Genomic DNA, 13,690 nt, shown 5'->3' on the forward strand with positions numbered 1-13,690 from the left:
ATGGCAAAATAGAACCCAGAGGAGGCAATGACTGGGAGATGACAGAGGAAACCAAATCGAAGCAGCTTTATTGCACCATTAAGTACATCACTGCATCAAAGACAGTGCCACAAATGCAAATCCAATCGGAGAAGGTAGCCCTGAGACATGTGGTGGCTGCGAGGGAGAAGGACCCCCAACCCTTGAGGAGCAGCGCTGGAAGAGAATCATTCCTTAATATGGCTCCAATTCCAGAACTGGGCTTTATCATCACAGAAGGAATGGCCTTGGGCTAAGGCTCCAACATAGGTGGAGTCAAGGGCAGTTCCCCATAGGCTGTGGTTCCCCTGCTCCTGTCTCACAGCCTAAGACAGCTTCCAGCAAAAGGCAGTTCATCCCTTTCACCTTCCATCCAACCTAGCCCACCCTTAATAATGCCGGCAGATGAGAAATTCCATTTTAACAGCGCCAAAGTTTCCTCTCTTGGTTCTGCTCAGCACCCATCCCTCACGTCCATGAGTTGTTCAAAGGGTGAACAGCAGTCAGCTCTACCCCAGACCCTGGGCTACAGAGAAATACGGACCTGGAAATACCAAGTCAGAGGCAGGGAAAAGGTAAGGGCAGGCTCATAAACCACAGAAGGGAGAAACAAAAGACCCACATGATGGGTCACAGCAGAGGTAGGCTTAAAAGTAACAATCCTGTTCACCCTCTCAGAAGCCACTTAAATAGAAGATCCCTGGGGGAGAAGATATCCTGCCCCAGGTCCTTACAGAGTGTAGTATTAGGGAGAGTGAAGAACTGATTCTATGCCCTGCCTCCAGGCCTGAGAGTGTCTTGGACAGATCCTAGAAGGCCAGACATAAAGGAGTAAAAAGCAGGCACTCAGCTGGTTTGGAGCCAAGCCTACAGCATCACATACCTGGCAGCAAGGAAAAGAGTCGGGAAAAAGAAACAGAATCTGTTGCAGAAGTCCCCTCTTCTGCAGGGAGGAGTTATGTAACAGCAGAAGTGGCCTCCTAGCAAGAGAGGCTGCCTGGTTTAGACCAGCAGCTTATGAGCGATGATGAGGACAGCCTTCAGGATAGGCATGAAGCTGGACACCTCGCTGAAGCTGCTACAGCCCGCCACCTGGGCATGCACTGCAAGGCCCTGCTCAAAGCTTCCTGCATCCACACATCGGGCAACCTCATGGAGCCCAGCCACGACATGAGGTGAGAGCTGTGGAGGGAATGACCCTTAGGTTAGTGAGCCCAACCCAGCTCCTACCCTGGCAGCATGGAAGGGATAAGGGAAGACTTAAGTTCTGGGGCCCAGTCCAGGCAAGATGCACGTATTTTGTGGGGAACCCAGGTCAGTGACACCTATGGGAAGAAAAGACACTGGGCTTCCTTTGGCCATGGTGATGGTGGAAGTGTAGGAGGCAGTGGGAGCACAGCTAGCTGTACTTACTGTCCCCTCACAGAGCTTCTCATATAGATACTCCAGACGCTGGGCTGCCTCTTCCAGCTTCCTTTTTGTCTTCTGCAGGGAAAGAAATGGATTCCAACCCCAGCCCCTAAGTCTAACACCACACAGGGCCATAAAGAATCACAGCATATTAGGCCGGGCATGGTGGCTCACGCCTGTAATCCCAGCACCTTGGGAGGCCAAGGCGGGTGGATCATGAGGTCAGGAGATGGAGACCATCCTGGCTGACACGGTGAAACCCCGTCTCCATTAAAAATACAAAAAATTAGCCGGGTATGGAGGTGGGCACCTGTAGTCCCAGCTACTCGGGAGGCTGAGGCGGGAGAATGGCTTGAACCCGGGAGGCAGAGCTTGCAGTGAGCCGAGATCGCGCCACTGCACTCCAGCCTGGGCGACAAAGCGAGACTCCATCTCAAAAAAAAAAAAAAAAAAAAATCACAGCATATTAGAGCTAGAATGGCTTCATTTCACAGAGGAGGGAATGAAGGCCCAAGAAGGGTAAGTGACTTGCTCAAGCCGACACAGCCAGCAGGGGAATGGCAGACTTCCTCACTCCTGGCTCCACCCTCCTTCCAGTACCCCTGCTGCCTTTAGGTCTCAATGCTGCTGGGTCCTACCACCAAGGAGCTGGACTTCAGACCAGACTCAAAAGTCTCTCCCCAGCTCCACATGGACGTCAATTAAGTACAAGATAGAGACAGCATGTCCAGGGGCAGTGAGAAGAGAGTCACACAAGGAACTGGTCCACAGCTGAGGGGTCCTGGAGCCAGCGAGGGGTGCGAGGAGGGCACTGTGAAGAAGGTTCAGACTTACTAAGTCAGTTGCAGACAGGGAGCAGCGTTGGAGAAGCGCCTCAAAGCTGCTCTTCAAGGACTGATGCTCTGGGGGCAGCTCCTTCCTTTCCATCTTCTCAGGTGGCAGGTGCTGAAGCTGCTGATAAAGAAGCAGGGAGAAAGGCCAGAGGGGCAAGCTGTCCTTCTCATGGCTTCCCTAAGGACTAGTCCCCAGTGACTCACAGTCACACTGTTCCCATTACAGCAGAGTTGGGGAGATGAGCAGCCTCCCTTTCTCTGCAGTAAGGACACCTGGTACCTGCCCCCAGTCTCCCTCAGCACATGCCTTGAGGAATGAGGCCCATCTACCATGACCTGCACCCAAGGAGGGCTGGAAGGTTTCCCAAGGGAGGGGAATACATTGTCCTTGTCACCTGCAGGCTGAGTTCTCCTGGAACTCCTGGGGGAGCATGACTCACACTGGAGACAGGGGGCTGTGAGGGAAGAATCCCTTGTAGCTCAGGGGTGAGGCTCATAACTGGAGCAGTAATTGGTGCTGGGGGCATAAATGTCTCTGGCAGCTAAAGAGACAGAAGGAAAGACATGAGTCTAACCTGAGAGACTCCATGGCTCTGGTTTTGGGGAGTGGCAGGAATGACAGTGAACAAGGAGACAGAAGAGTGAGTGTGGGAAACTGGGAAGTGAGGAGACTGGTGTATGTGTGTAAGAGGGAAAGAGAAAGAAGAGGGTTCTGAGGAAAGAAGAGTAAGTGGGAGGAGGGCGGGGACAGTCTGAGAAGGGGAAGGACTGACTGAATCCTCCAAGGAATTAGAACGTGGTCATTGGTGAATGTGCGAGGGAGTGGGTAGGGAAAGATGCATTGACCTTGTTCCTCTGGAGGTTTCCCCTGGGGGCTGGGGCTTCTTTCCAGGAATCTTGAGGTCCTATAGAATAAAAAGATAGAGGTTTTTCGGCGCATAGTGAAAAACACTGGAAGTTTTTTATCTGAAGGCTGGAAGCATTCTTTGAGTTGGAGTTCACCATACCTCCCTCTGCAGACCATCTACACTCCCAGCCACCCTCCACCCAACAGGGCCCTAGCCCTCTGACTTGAGGAAAGACTCCCAAAGTAGTGAGAGGAGCAGGGGAGGCAATAACCCAGAAGAGGGATCCATGGAAGGAAGACTGACCTGGGTGAGGAGTCAAGATGCCAGTGGTTGGGAGGACACTAGAGCATGGGGCACCTGGGTCCCCTGGAAGGTATGGCACAGGGAAGCTTGCAGGAGGGGCTGGGGTGTGGGAGACCATGCGGCCGGGACCTAGTGGTCTCAGAGGAAGCAGAGGGAACAGTCTAGGAGTCTCAGGCAGGGAGGTAGAGCCAGGTCGCATGATGCCTGGGCATGCCATGGGTAGAGGGGAACCAGGAAGAGGCCATGTCCCAGGGAATCCCACCGGGTTAGGAACTTGCACCCTTTGCCCTCCTAATAGCTGTGGCTGAGATGAAGCTGAAGCAGAACAGAAATAGGTCATTTGTCACTAAACTTCATTTCAGGAGCAACTCAGAGCATATCAGGGAGAAACAGGATTGCAATAAAAAAATAATAAATGATTAATACATGTATATGGAAATCTATAATTTACAAAATACTTTTAACTATATTCCTTATTTGACCTTCAAAACAATCCCATAGCATTGAAATAAGCAACACAACACTTTGGTATATTGCCAAAGGTACGAAGCCAGTGATAGCATTAGGAATTCAGACTTCAACTTCCAAGCTCCTCTCACTAGACAGACATACAGCTTCCCAAATCCATGCTGGCCATGCCAATTGCTTTCCTGAGACCTCTGTGCTCTGCCCAGATAGATCTTCAGTGACTCACTCACCAGGCCTTACCCCAGGGCTCAAAGGCAAAGGCTGGATGGCCTGGGGCCCAGGTGCCCTGTAGTCACTTATATTCTGTGTCCTGGGACCCTGATAAGGGCTAGGATGGGAAGGTGCCAAGGGCATCGCTGGTGATGACTGAGGGGTGAAAACCCTTGGCCTTGGAGATGGAGTTGGGACCTATGAAGAGAAAAAAACATCAGCTCTTGGAAAGGAAAGAGAAAGGTAAATAATAGAAAACAGAAAAATAATAGGGAAAATTAATGAAACAAAAACTAGTTCTTTGAGGAAAAAAATCAATAAAATTGATAAACATCTAAAAACTGATAAAGATAAAAAGCAAGAAGATATAAATCATCATCAGAGATGAAACAGGGACTATTACAACAGACCCTGAAGCCATTAAAAATATAAACGAATACTACAGAAAACTTTACATTCATAAATCTGACAACTTATCAGAAATGGACCCATTCCTCAAGAACCATAAACTACCAAAACTCAGTCACAATGAAAGAAGATCTGGATAGTCCTATAACCATTAAAGAAATTGAGTTTGTAATTTAAAAGCTCCCAAAAAAGAAATCTCCAGGCCTAGATGGTTTCACTGGAGAATTTCACCAGTCAAAGAATTAATGCAAAGTTTATGTAATCTCTTCCAGAAAATAGAAGGAACACTTCCTAACTAATTTCATGAGGCCAGTATTACCCTGATGCCAGCAACAGAAAAAGATAGCAGAAAATAAAACTACACATCAATATTTCTCATGAACTTAGACACAAAAATCCTCAACAAAATTTTAGCAAATCAAATAATGTATATAAAAAATAATATTCCACAAGAAAGTGGGATTGATTCCAGGTCATACAAAGCTGATCCAAGATATTTAAAAACCAATCAATTTAATCCCCTATACCAACAAACTAAAGAATGAAAATAACATGATGACAGAAATGATGCAGAAAAAACATTTGACAAAATTCAACACCGATTCATGATCTAGTACACAAGGTGTTATGGTCTGAATATGCTCCCCAAAGTCATGTGTTGAAAACTGAATCCTCAATGCAACAGTGTTGGGAAAGTGGGACTTTTTGTAAGTGTTTAGGTCATGAGGGCTCTGCCCTCATTAATGGATTAATGCCACTACAAAAATGACTTGCAGGAGTGGGTTTGCTTTCTCTTGCACATCTGCTATCTGCCATGTGAGAACACAGCAGCAAGGCACCATCTTGCAACTAGAGGGTGGAACCGTACCTGCTGGAACCATACCTGCTGGTGCCTTGATCTTGGACTCCAGAACCATAAGAAATAAATTTCTGTTCTTTATAAATTTCCCAGTCTGTGGTATTCTGTTATAGTGGCACAAAATGGATTAAGACACAAGGAATAGAGGGAAATGTCCTTGGTCTCATAAAGAGCATCTGTGAAAAACCTAAAGCTAACATCATGCTTAATGCTGAAATATTGAATGTTTTTCCTCTAAGACTGGAAACAAGGCAAGAACATTCATGTTCACTATTTATTTATTTTTTTTGAGACAGAGTTTCGCTCTTGGTGCCCAGGCTGGAGTGCAATGGCACAATCTCAGCTCACTGCAACCTCCACCTCCCGGGTTCAAGCGACTCTCCAGCCTTGCCTCCTGAGTAGCTGGGATTACAGGCATGCGCCACCATGCCCGGTTAATTTTATATTTTTAGTAGAGATGGGGTCTCACCATGTTGGCCAGGCTGGTCTCAACTCCTGACCTTAGGTGATCCACCCACCTCAGTTTCCCAAAGTGCTGGGATTACAGGTATGAGCCACAGCGCCTGGCTTATGTTCACTATTCTTATTTAACAGAGACTGGAAGTCCTAGTCACTACAATAAGGCATAAGAAAGAAATTAAATGCATATAGATTGAAAAGAAAGAAAACTATCTATTTGCAGATTTGTAGACAGCATGACTGTCTATTAGAAAACCCCATGGAATCCACAAAAAACTTCTATAACTATTCAGGAAAGTCACAGGATATAACCAGATCAACACATAAAAATCAACTGCATTTCTATATACTCACAATGAACAAGTGGAAACCAAGAAATTTGATTTTAAACTGCTGAAGAAAAAAATTAAATACTTAGTAGGCATGAGCTGACAGGTGATATAAAAAATTAAATACTTAAGTATGAATTGGACAAAATATGTACAGGATTGGTGTGACAAAAATTATAAAACGCTGATGGAGAAACATGCCACATTCATGGACTGAAAGACTGAACCTAGTAAAGATGTCAGTTAGGAACTTGTATTTGAATACTCATAGCAGCTTTACTCATAATACCCCAAATTGGAAACTATCCGAATGTCCTTCAAAGTTTGAATGGCTAAAAAAATTAAAACTGGGGCCGGGCGCGGTGGCTCATGCCTATAATCCCAGCGCTTTGGGAGGCCGAGGCGGGCGGATCACGAGGTCGGGAGATCAAGACCATCCTGGCTAACATGGTGAAACCCCATCTCCACTAAAAATACAAAAAATTATCCGGGCGTGGTGGCGGGCGCCTGTAGTACAAGCTACTCGGGAGGCTGAGGCAGGAGAATGGCGTGAACCTGGGAGGCAGAGCTTGCAGTGAGCCAAGATCGCGCCACTGCACTCCAGCCTGGGCAACAAAGCAAGACTCCATCTCAAAAAAAAAAAAAATTAAAACCATGGTACATTCACACCATGGAATACTACTCTGCAATAAGAATGAGTGAACTACTGGTACACAGAACAACTTGAATGAACCTCAAAGAAGTTATGCTAAGGGAGAAAAGCCAATCTCAAAAGGATACATATTGCCATGATTCTATTTAAGTAACAATCGTTAAATAACAATGATAGAGCTGGAGAACATATTGGTGAAGCCAAGGATGAGGGAGGCAGAATAAGTGCAGCTATAAAAGAGGTAACACAAGAGAGTCTTGTGGTGATGGTAAAATTGAGTATCTTGATTTTGGTGGTGGTTACACACCACAATGTGACAAAACTGCATAAACACACATAAACACACACCTAACAATATGTAAAACTGGTGGAGACTGAATCTGAAATCTGAATCCATGGATTGTACTAATGGCAATTTCTTGGTTTTGATAGCGTACTGTGGTTGTGTGAGATGCCGACACGGGGCGGGGTGTTGTTGGGATGCAGGAGACATCCCAGTACATTTCTTTGCCACCTCCTGTGAATCTATGGTTATTTTTAAATGAAAAGAGACGGGGAGAGGGAGAGAGAGAGGAGAGGAGGGGAAGGGGAAAAGGGGAGACAAGGGAGGGAAGAAAGGGAGGGAGGAAAGGGAGGGAAAAAAAGAAAAGGAATTAGGGTGGGGATTGAAGGTGGGACAAGATGAGCCATCAGAGCTTCTGCCTGGTAACTGTATCCAAATCTCCCTGGATTCTGTTCTCCGGCAGCTCTAGCAAGCTTCTGGCCTCACATCTTAACAGTATCCAATCCCCCCGGGCACTTTGGCCAGAACCTCTTTCCTCTCCCTCAGTACCCCCAACCACACACACACCTCTCCAAACTATCAGCAATTCTGTCAGTTCTATCTACTAAGTACTAAGTATTTCAAATCCAACCTCACTGGCTAGCTTTAGTTATTTCATGTCTTCATCATCCCTTACTATAGCCTAACTCCCTCCAGCCTGGCCCTTCCTAACATACAGCTAATTATGTCACTCTTCCTAAAACTGTTCAATAGCTCCTCCCTGTCAAGTTTAAGTTCTTTAGCACAGAATGCTAGGTCCTTAGTGATCTAACTCCTACCTGTTGTTCCAGCTTCATCTAACTTCACAGCCACAAACACCTGTGTTGCAGCCCCAATTAAATAATAGTAATTCTCAAAAGGCTTCGGCTTACTCTTGCTTCAGTGCCTTTGTACATGCTATTCTCTGTGCCTGAAACAGTCTTCACTTGCTCATCCCTTTGCCTAAAACCTTTTAATCTTTGAAACTCTGATCAAACATCCGACTTGTTCTGAAACACTCCCTGGACTGCCCCCACAACCTCACCATACAGAGTAAACTACTTTCATCTGTGTGATCTTATAGCCCCTTGCCATACCCCAATCATGGTATTTATGAATTTTACTGTAGCTATTTTTTTTTTTTTTTTTTTGAGACGGAGTCTCGCTCCGTTGCCAGGCTGGAGTGCAGTGGTATGATCTGGGCTCACTTCAACCTCCACCTCCCAGGTTCAAGTGATACTCCTGCCTCAGCCTCCCGAGTAGCTGGGACTACAGGCACGTGCCACCATGCCCAGATCATTATTTTGTATTTTCAGTAGAGATGGGGTTTCACCATGTTGGCTAGGATGGTCTCGAACTCCAAACCTCATGATCTGCCCGCTTTGGCCTCCCAAAGTGCTGGGATTACAGGCGTGAGCCACCACGCCAGGCCTACTGTAGCTATTTTTTACATATCTATCTTTCGACTACACTATGAGCTACTTGAGGGCAAGTATCACAATTTTTGCACCTTTATGTCCTAAGAGCCTAGTAGTTCAATAAACAGTTATTTATTATAAAAAGAACTGAATCTATGTTCTATGGAAGTTGGGAATTTTCATCAGTTTTGTTCACAATATATTCCAAGTGCCCAGAACCATGCTTGGCACGTATTATTGAATGAACAAATGAATGAACAAACGAGGTCTTACCTGGTGAGAAGGCTGGGATCCCAATCTGTAAGATGATGTCTCTTTAGAGTGGAGGGTAGCTCCCACAACAATCCGGGGGAAGGGGAAAGGGGGAGACTGTTGGCCCAAGACAGCAGAACCTTGAGCATGAAAAAGCCGATCTCTTAGCTGCTGAACTGGTGGCTATAAGTTTTAATGAGGAAGAGCTGTGTCAAGAAATTAAAACAATCAAGGCCCCAGGTAGCAGTCAAATTTCAGCTGACCCTCTACACCAAGCTTGTCCAACCTGTGTTATTTTGTTGTTGTTGTTGTTCTGTTCTGTTTTGTTTTGTTTTAGGTTTTTAGCAGCCTGAAGCCATGGTTTTTGGTTTGTCTCTAGTGATAAGTGGAAAACCGGGATGAGGAAGGGGCTTTACTGGCCCAACCAGAAACAGAAACTAAGCACCCACGACTGTATTCTGACCCTTGGACACCCCCGCTCTATACTCTAGCCCCCTTAGAGATGACTCAAGGTTCCTGAATCCCTGCCAAACACTTGCATGCCTCCCTCCTTGCTATTCTTTCTGCTTAGAATGCTCTATATCTGCTGGTAAGCTACTTCTCTTTGAAGGTCCAGCTCAGCTGTTTTAACCATTGAGAAGCCTTCCTTGACTTCTCCAGGCAAAAATCAGTCCCTTCCCTGGACTCCCACAGTGCTCAGTATAAGCTTCTGTTATGGCACTATAAGTCATCAACATCTGATCTTCCCCCAGTAGATTGTGAGGTGCTTAAGGGATTCCATCTTATCTATCCTAGGAGCTTCAGCATTAGCATAGTGCCTGGAATATGGAAGTGCTCAATCAATGTTAGATGACTGAATGAAATGGTTTGCTCTCTCCACATGGCCCCACTTACCTGAGCACAGTCCCTGGGTAGAAAGCTCATGGCAGTGGCCAGGCTGCCCTGGGCTGCCAGGAGGTTGGCATACTGAGTGACCCTGTAGGTTGTGGCAGGGCCTGGGCTCACCCCATGAGGACCCCGCAGTTGCTCCAAGCTCCTGTTAAGAACCATCACCTTCTCCATCAGGTCCTGTAAGGGCAAGGATGAGGGTGGTAAGCCTTCAATGAGGCATATCCTGCTCTCTAAGTCCACGCAGCTCATTCAGGGATCTCCCACTATGGGTACAGATGAGGGCACCTGACCATACCTAGGTGAAGGCAGCAGATGATGACACGTAAGAACTGTGACAGAGAAGGGCCACCTGGCCTCACCTCCCAAGCTGTTAGGATTGGATTTAACTGGACCCATCTGGGTCTTAGATTTTTGTACATCTCTACCTCTTCCTTTTGCTTTTTTACCCTTTCTGCTTATACATCACCAACCACAGACTCTGTCAGACTAATTGTTTCATGTGCGACTTTTGTCTCTCCATGAGTCTGTGACCCCCACTTTCTGTGGTCACCCACAGAACACCTGGAAGTTTAGATCCACAGAACTTTCCACAGTAGCTAATAGAAGGGCCAAGCCACAATTACTCAAGTACTGAATACATCTGTAAAACCAAACCTGAAATAGGAAAAAAATTATGAAGACTAACACTGAAGCAGCTGCTGCTTAGTCTTCTCTGAGGGAAGAGGAGAAGATCCCAGACATTCAGGACCTTTCGCTCCTCCCTAACACCGTGGTTCCAGCCTGTCCCAGAAGATTCGCCTCTGCTAGCTCTGCACATCTCCACCACTAGCCTCCTAAGGGCCTGGTGTGGAGTGGCCAGTACCCTGCAGAGAAGGGGTACCTGCAGAGCCATGGGGGACAAAGCCTGGTGGCATTTTGCCCAGCACTCCACCAGCCGCTCCACACTCCCTGAGCACACATAACAGAGTCTGGCTTCGGAGGTTAGTGCCCTGCTGCCCTCCTGTTCCATGCGAGTTCCCAGCATGTCTGCAGAGAGAGGGTAATTTCATTAATGGCACAGCTGCCCTGTGTGCCTCTCCTTCTCCTGTTTGGAAACAGGGAGAGGACCATGAGCCTGGGACAAGTAGCTGCAGTTTAAGACAACACTGAGACTCACCTTGCTGTACAGAGAAGGGGAAAGTTCTCACATCATGGTGTGACAAGACAAGGTAAAACAGGACAACAAAGGATCCCCTCTGAAAATAGGGGCATGCACTGTGGTCCCTGCCTCCTGGCTGAGCCAGATTCTAGCCCTGACAACATTGCCTCGCCTCCCACAGCTCAGTCTGCTCCTCCACCTCCCTCCTGCATGCATCCTTTGACTCCATGCTGGAGTCACACCATTTCATCCTGAAGCCTGGGACCACACTTACCACAGAGCTCGGGAAATTTCTCTGTGCCTGAGTATGTCAGTAGCAAAGCCAGTGCCTCTCTCCAGTTCTTCAGGCTACAGGTACACACCACATCCTTCCAATTCTTTTGCACAACACAGGCTAGAAGCTGTAATGGGCAGAGAGGGAAAGAGACCATCAGCCATCCATCCAGCATAGGCAGCAGGATTCCTGCACAGGCCTCCTGTTAGAGCACTGAGTAGGGGCAAGGGATGAGGTGGGGGTGGTTAGAGTAGAAAGAGAGAGGCAGGCAGATACTCAAACATGGGTCCCAAGGTGTGGGTATCCACCTCACAAGGTCCAAGTAATCCCCTCCCTTCTTCTCCTGCATGATGGGCAGTTACCGAGGAGATTTTGGTTTTCTTCTTGGCCAAGTAGCGCTCCTGTGTTTGCTTCAGCAGATCTGTACCCCCAGCCTGGGCCAGGATAATGGCATCAGCAAAGCGCTCCTCCTTCAGACACAGCTCCACGGCCGGACCCAGTTCCCCAAGCAGGAGAGCCTGGCTTAGGAGTCCATCAATATCTGCAGGCAGAAGCATCCCCTGTGCATTAGTTGCTCTCAAACCCCAACTTCCTGCCCCCTGCAGGGCCCACAGCACACCCTCTATATCTCTATATCACTCAGTGTGCTTGGCTCCAAACTAAATCCTCAAGTTTCACTCCTTGGCAATAAAATGTATTTTGGTGCCCAGGTCTAAAGACAGGGCCCAAGACAAGGGAGGGAACTGATGTGGCAGTAGCACAGTGTGAGGTGTGCTTGATCACAGTGGGCAGGGCCACAGTCCTTTCAGCAAGAAGGATAGAAGAAAATCTGTTGGTAGAAGGCCTTCCATAGGAAGGACGTATCCATGAAAATCTACAACCAGAGAGAGCTCTAACTGGTAAGCGACTCACTCAGCATTTGAGACGGTGGGAGGAAGGCACGAGGCAGGGGACAAGAAGGGAATGTCTCAAGTCCAAAACCTCCGTGCCCACCTAGTCCTAAGCAGAGACTCTCCCTCTCCCTCAGGGTCAGGGTACCTTTTGTGATGGGGATCTCCCAAGGAGTCATGTTCTGAGGGACCAGCTCATCAAAGAAGGCTGAGGAAGCAGAGGCTTCCTTTGTGGTGTGTTTGGAGGCCTGTATGAGGAAGGACAGAGGTGACTACTTAGGGATGAACCCAAGACAGACAGAGAGCTGGCTTAGTAGCCCTGAGAGCTCTACTATTTGGCCGTTAATGGGTAAAACTAAAAAAATAGCCAGGTAAGGTTTGGGGAGGGCCATAGTTCATGGTTAAGACACAGCTCTCCACTCCCAGCCCAAAAGCTTAGGGACTCTGTGTCTCACTCTGGTTCTAAGAGAGTGAGGAGTCTGAAGACTTCTACAGACGCTAAACACTTACAGACAGCAAAGAAAAGGGCCAGGAAGGGAAAGATGCCCAAAAGGCAGGTTTCCTGTGTTACCATAGGTCAGGCTGACTGGACTCCTACCACACCTGGCTGCAGAAGGCCTGTTGTCTGTCACTGTTGAGGTCATTTCCCTTGGGCTGAGGACTCTCACCTAGCCCCACGTCACTCTTCAACCATGTGGCCACCTGCAGGGAGAGACCTCTGAAAACCGCTCTTTCAAGCGTAAGATCAAATAAGCATTATCCTCTTTTCCTATCTCCATACCCCACCAACTGTACTCTCTAAGATCCCTGATCTATTTTTTTCTGAGAAAAAAACAAACTCCAGGATGTAAAATGCTCACATATGCAATAATAAGGCCAGGAAGAGGTATTCTGAGGTGGTTTACTCTGGCAACATTCTCTTCTTCTCTTCAACAAGTACATGTTTCTGATGTGAAAAGCAGCTTACCTTCTTCTGAAGCTCATCTTTACTGTATCCTAAAAGCTTTAGGAATTTCATTCTGGAGTCTTGCTCTAAGGTCACCTAAGAAACCACAGAACACAGAAAAGATTCCATTAAATGAACATAAATGACGCTCTTCCTACAACAAGCTGGGTATCTGTGCCAGTATACCCAATATAGTTCTTTGTACTACTAGAAGTGCCCTCAGCAGTCCAATGCCATCTCTTTTTCCTCCCTGGATCTGACTTACTGATGGGCTATCAGCAGTGTTAACATAGCCCCCTGCCCTTTGCACATGAGAATTTGACCTTTCATTGACTTCCTAGCTCTGTTACCCTGGTAGTCTGGTGAGAGTAAAATGTCAGCTGTTCCTAGGCAATATGCTTGTGATTGGTAACTTGCATCTGGACTGGAACTATGTAACCTAGAAATAATTAATGTGAACAACATGCTATGCATTTCCCTGTTTGCAGTGGCTCTTGTAACTGGACAGATTCCTTGCAGGGACTCCGGAAGCTATGCTTTTAGAATTGGTACAAGAGATATTGGCTCTTGTGGGCAAGAAGCTTCTAAGTCAGGGCAACTTACATACCTGCCTGATGTATAGTCTCATCTCCTTGCACCTGAGCTGTCTCTGGCGGGCTGAAGAAGAGAACTCTGAATTACTGCATGACTGCTGAAAGGGCTCCCACAGAAGACACCTGCCTGATGCTACCCTGCTGTGGTCCCTATCCCATATCCTTCCGAGGAGACTGCTGCCAAGTGTAG

General features: G+C 47.2%; 1 protein-coding gene across 1 annotated transcript in view; it reads right to left on the reverse strand.

Annotated features, from left to right (window-relative positions):
• The window catches only part of SEC31B (SEC31 homolog B, COPII component), a 33,215-nt gene continuing 19,576 nt past the window's right edge, over positions 52 to 13,690 (reverse strand). Inside the window, exons 12-26 of the mRNA NM_015490.4 lie at positions 12,929 to 13,003; positions 12,565 to 12,663; positions 12,110 to 12,209; positions 11,434 to 11,612; positions 11,072 to 11,198; positions 10,540 to 10,685; positions 9,663 to 9,836; positions 8,790 to 8,951; positions 4,111 to 4,288; positions 3,413 to 3,727; positions 3,108 to 3,166; positions 2,657 to 2,803; positions 2,263 to 2,379; positions 1,432 to 1,503; positions 52 to 1,200 (exon numbers count right to left, since the gene is read on the reverse strand). Coding sequence (NP_056305.1) covers positions 1,021 to 1,200; positions 1,432 to 1,503; positions 2,263 to 2,379; positions 2,657 to 2,803; positions 3,108 to 3,166; positions 3,413 to 3,727; positions 4,111 to 4,288; positions 8,790 to 8,951; positions 9,663 to 9,836; positions 10,540 to 10,685; positions 11,072 to 11,198; positions 11,434 to 11,612; positions 12,110 to 12,209; positions 12,565 to 12,663; positions 12,929 to 13,003 — 2,130 coding nt within the window. The 3' untranslated portion in view covers positions 52 to 1,020. The remainder of the gene's footprint in view (positions 1,201 to 1,431; positions 1,504 to 2,262; positions 2,380 to 2,656; positions 2,804 to 3,107; positions 3,167 to 3,412; positions 3,728 to 4,110; positions 4,289 to 8,789; positions 8,952 to 9,662; positions 9,837 to 10,539; positions 10,686 to 11,071; positions 11,199 to 11,433; positions 11,613 to 12,109; positions 12,210 to 12,564; positions 12,664 to 12,928; positions 13,004 to 13,690) is intronic.

The sequence above is a fragment of the Homo sapiens genome, chromosome 10 (assembly GCF_000001405.40).
Source record: "Homo sapiens chromosome 10, GRCh38.p14 Primary Assembly".
Classification (NCBI taxonomy): domain Eukaryota; kingdom Metazoa; phylum Chordata; class Mammalia; order Primates; family Hominidae; genus Homo; species Homo sapiens.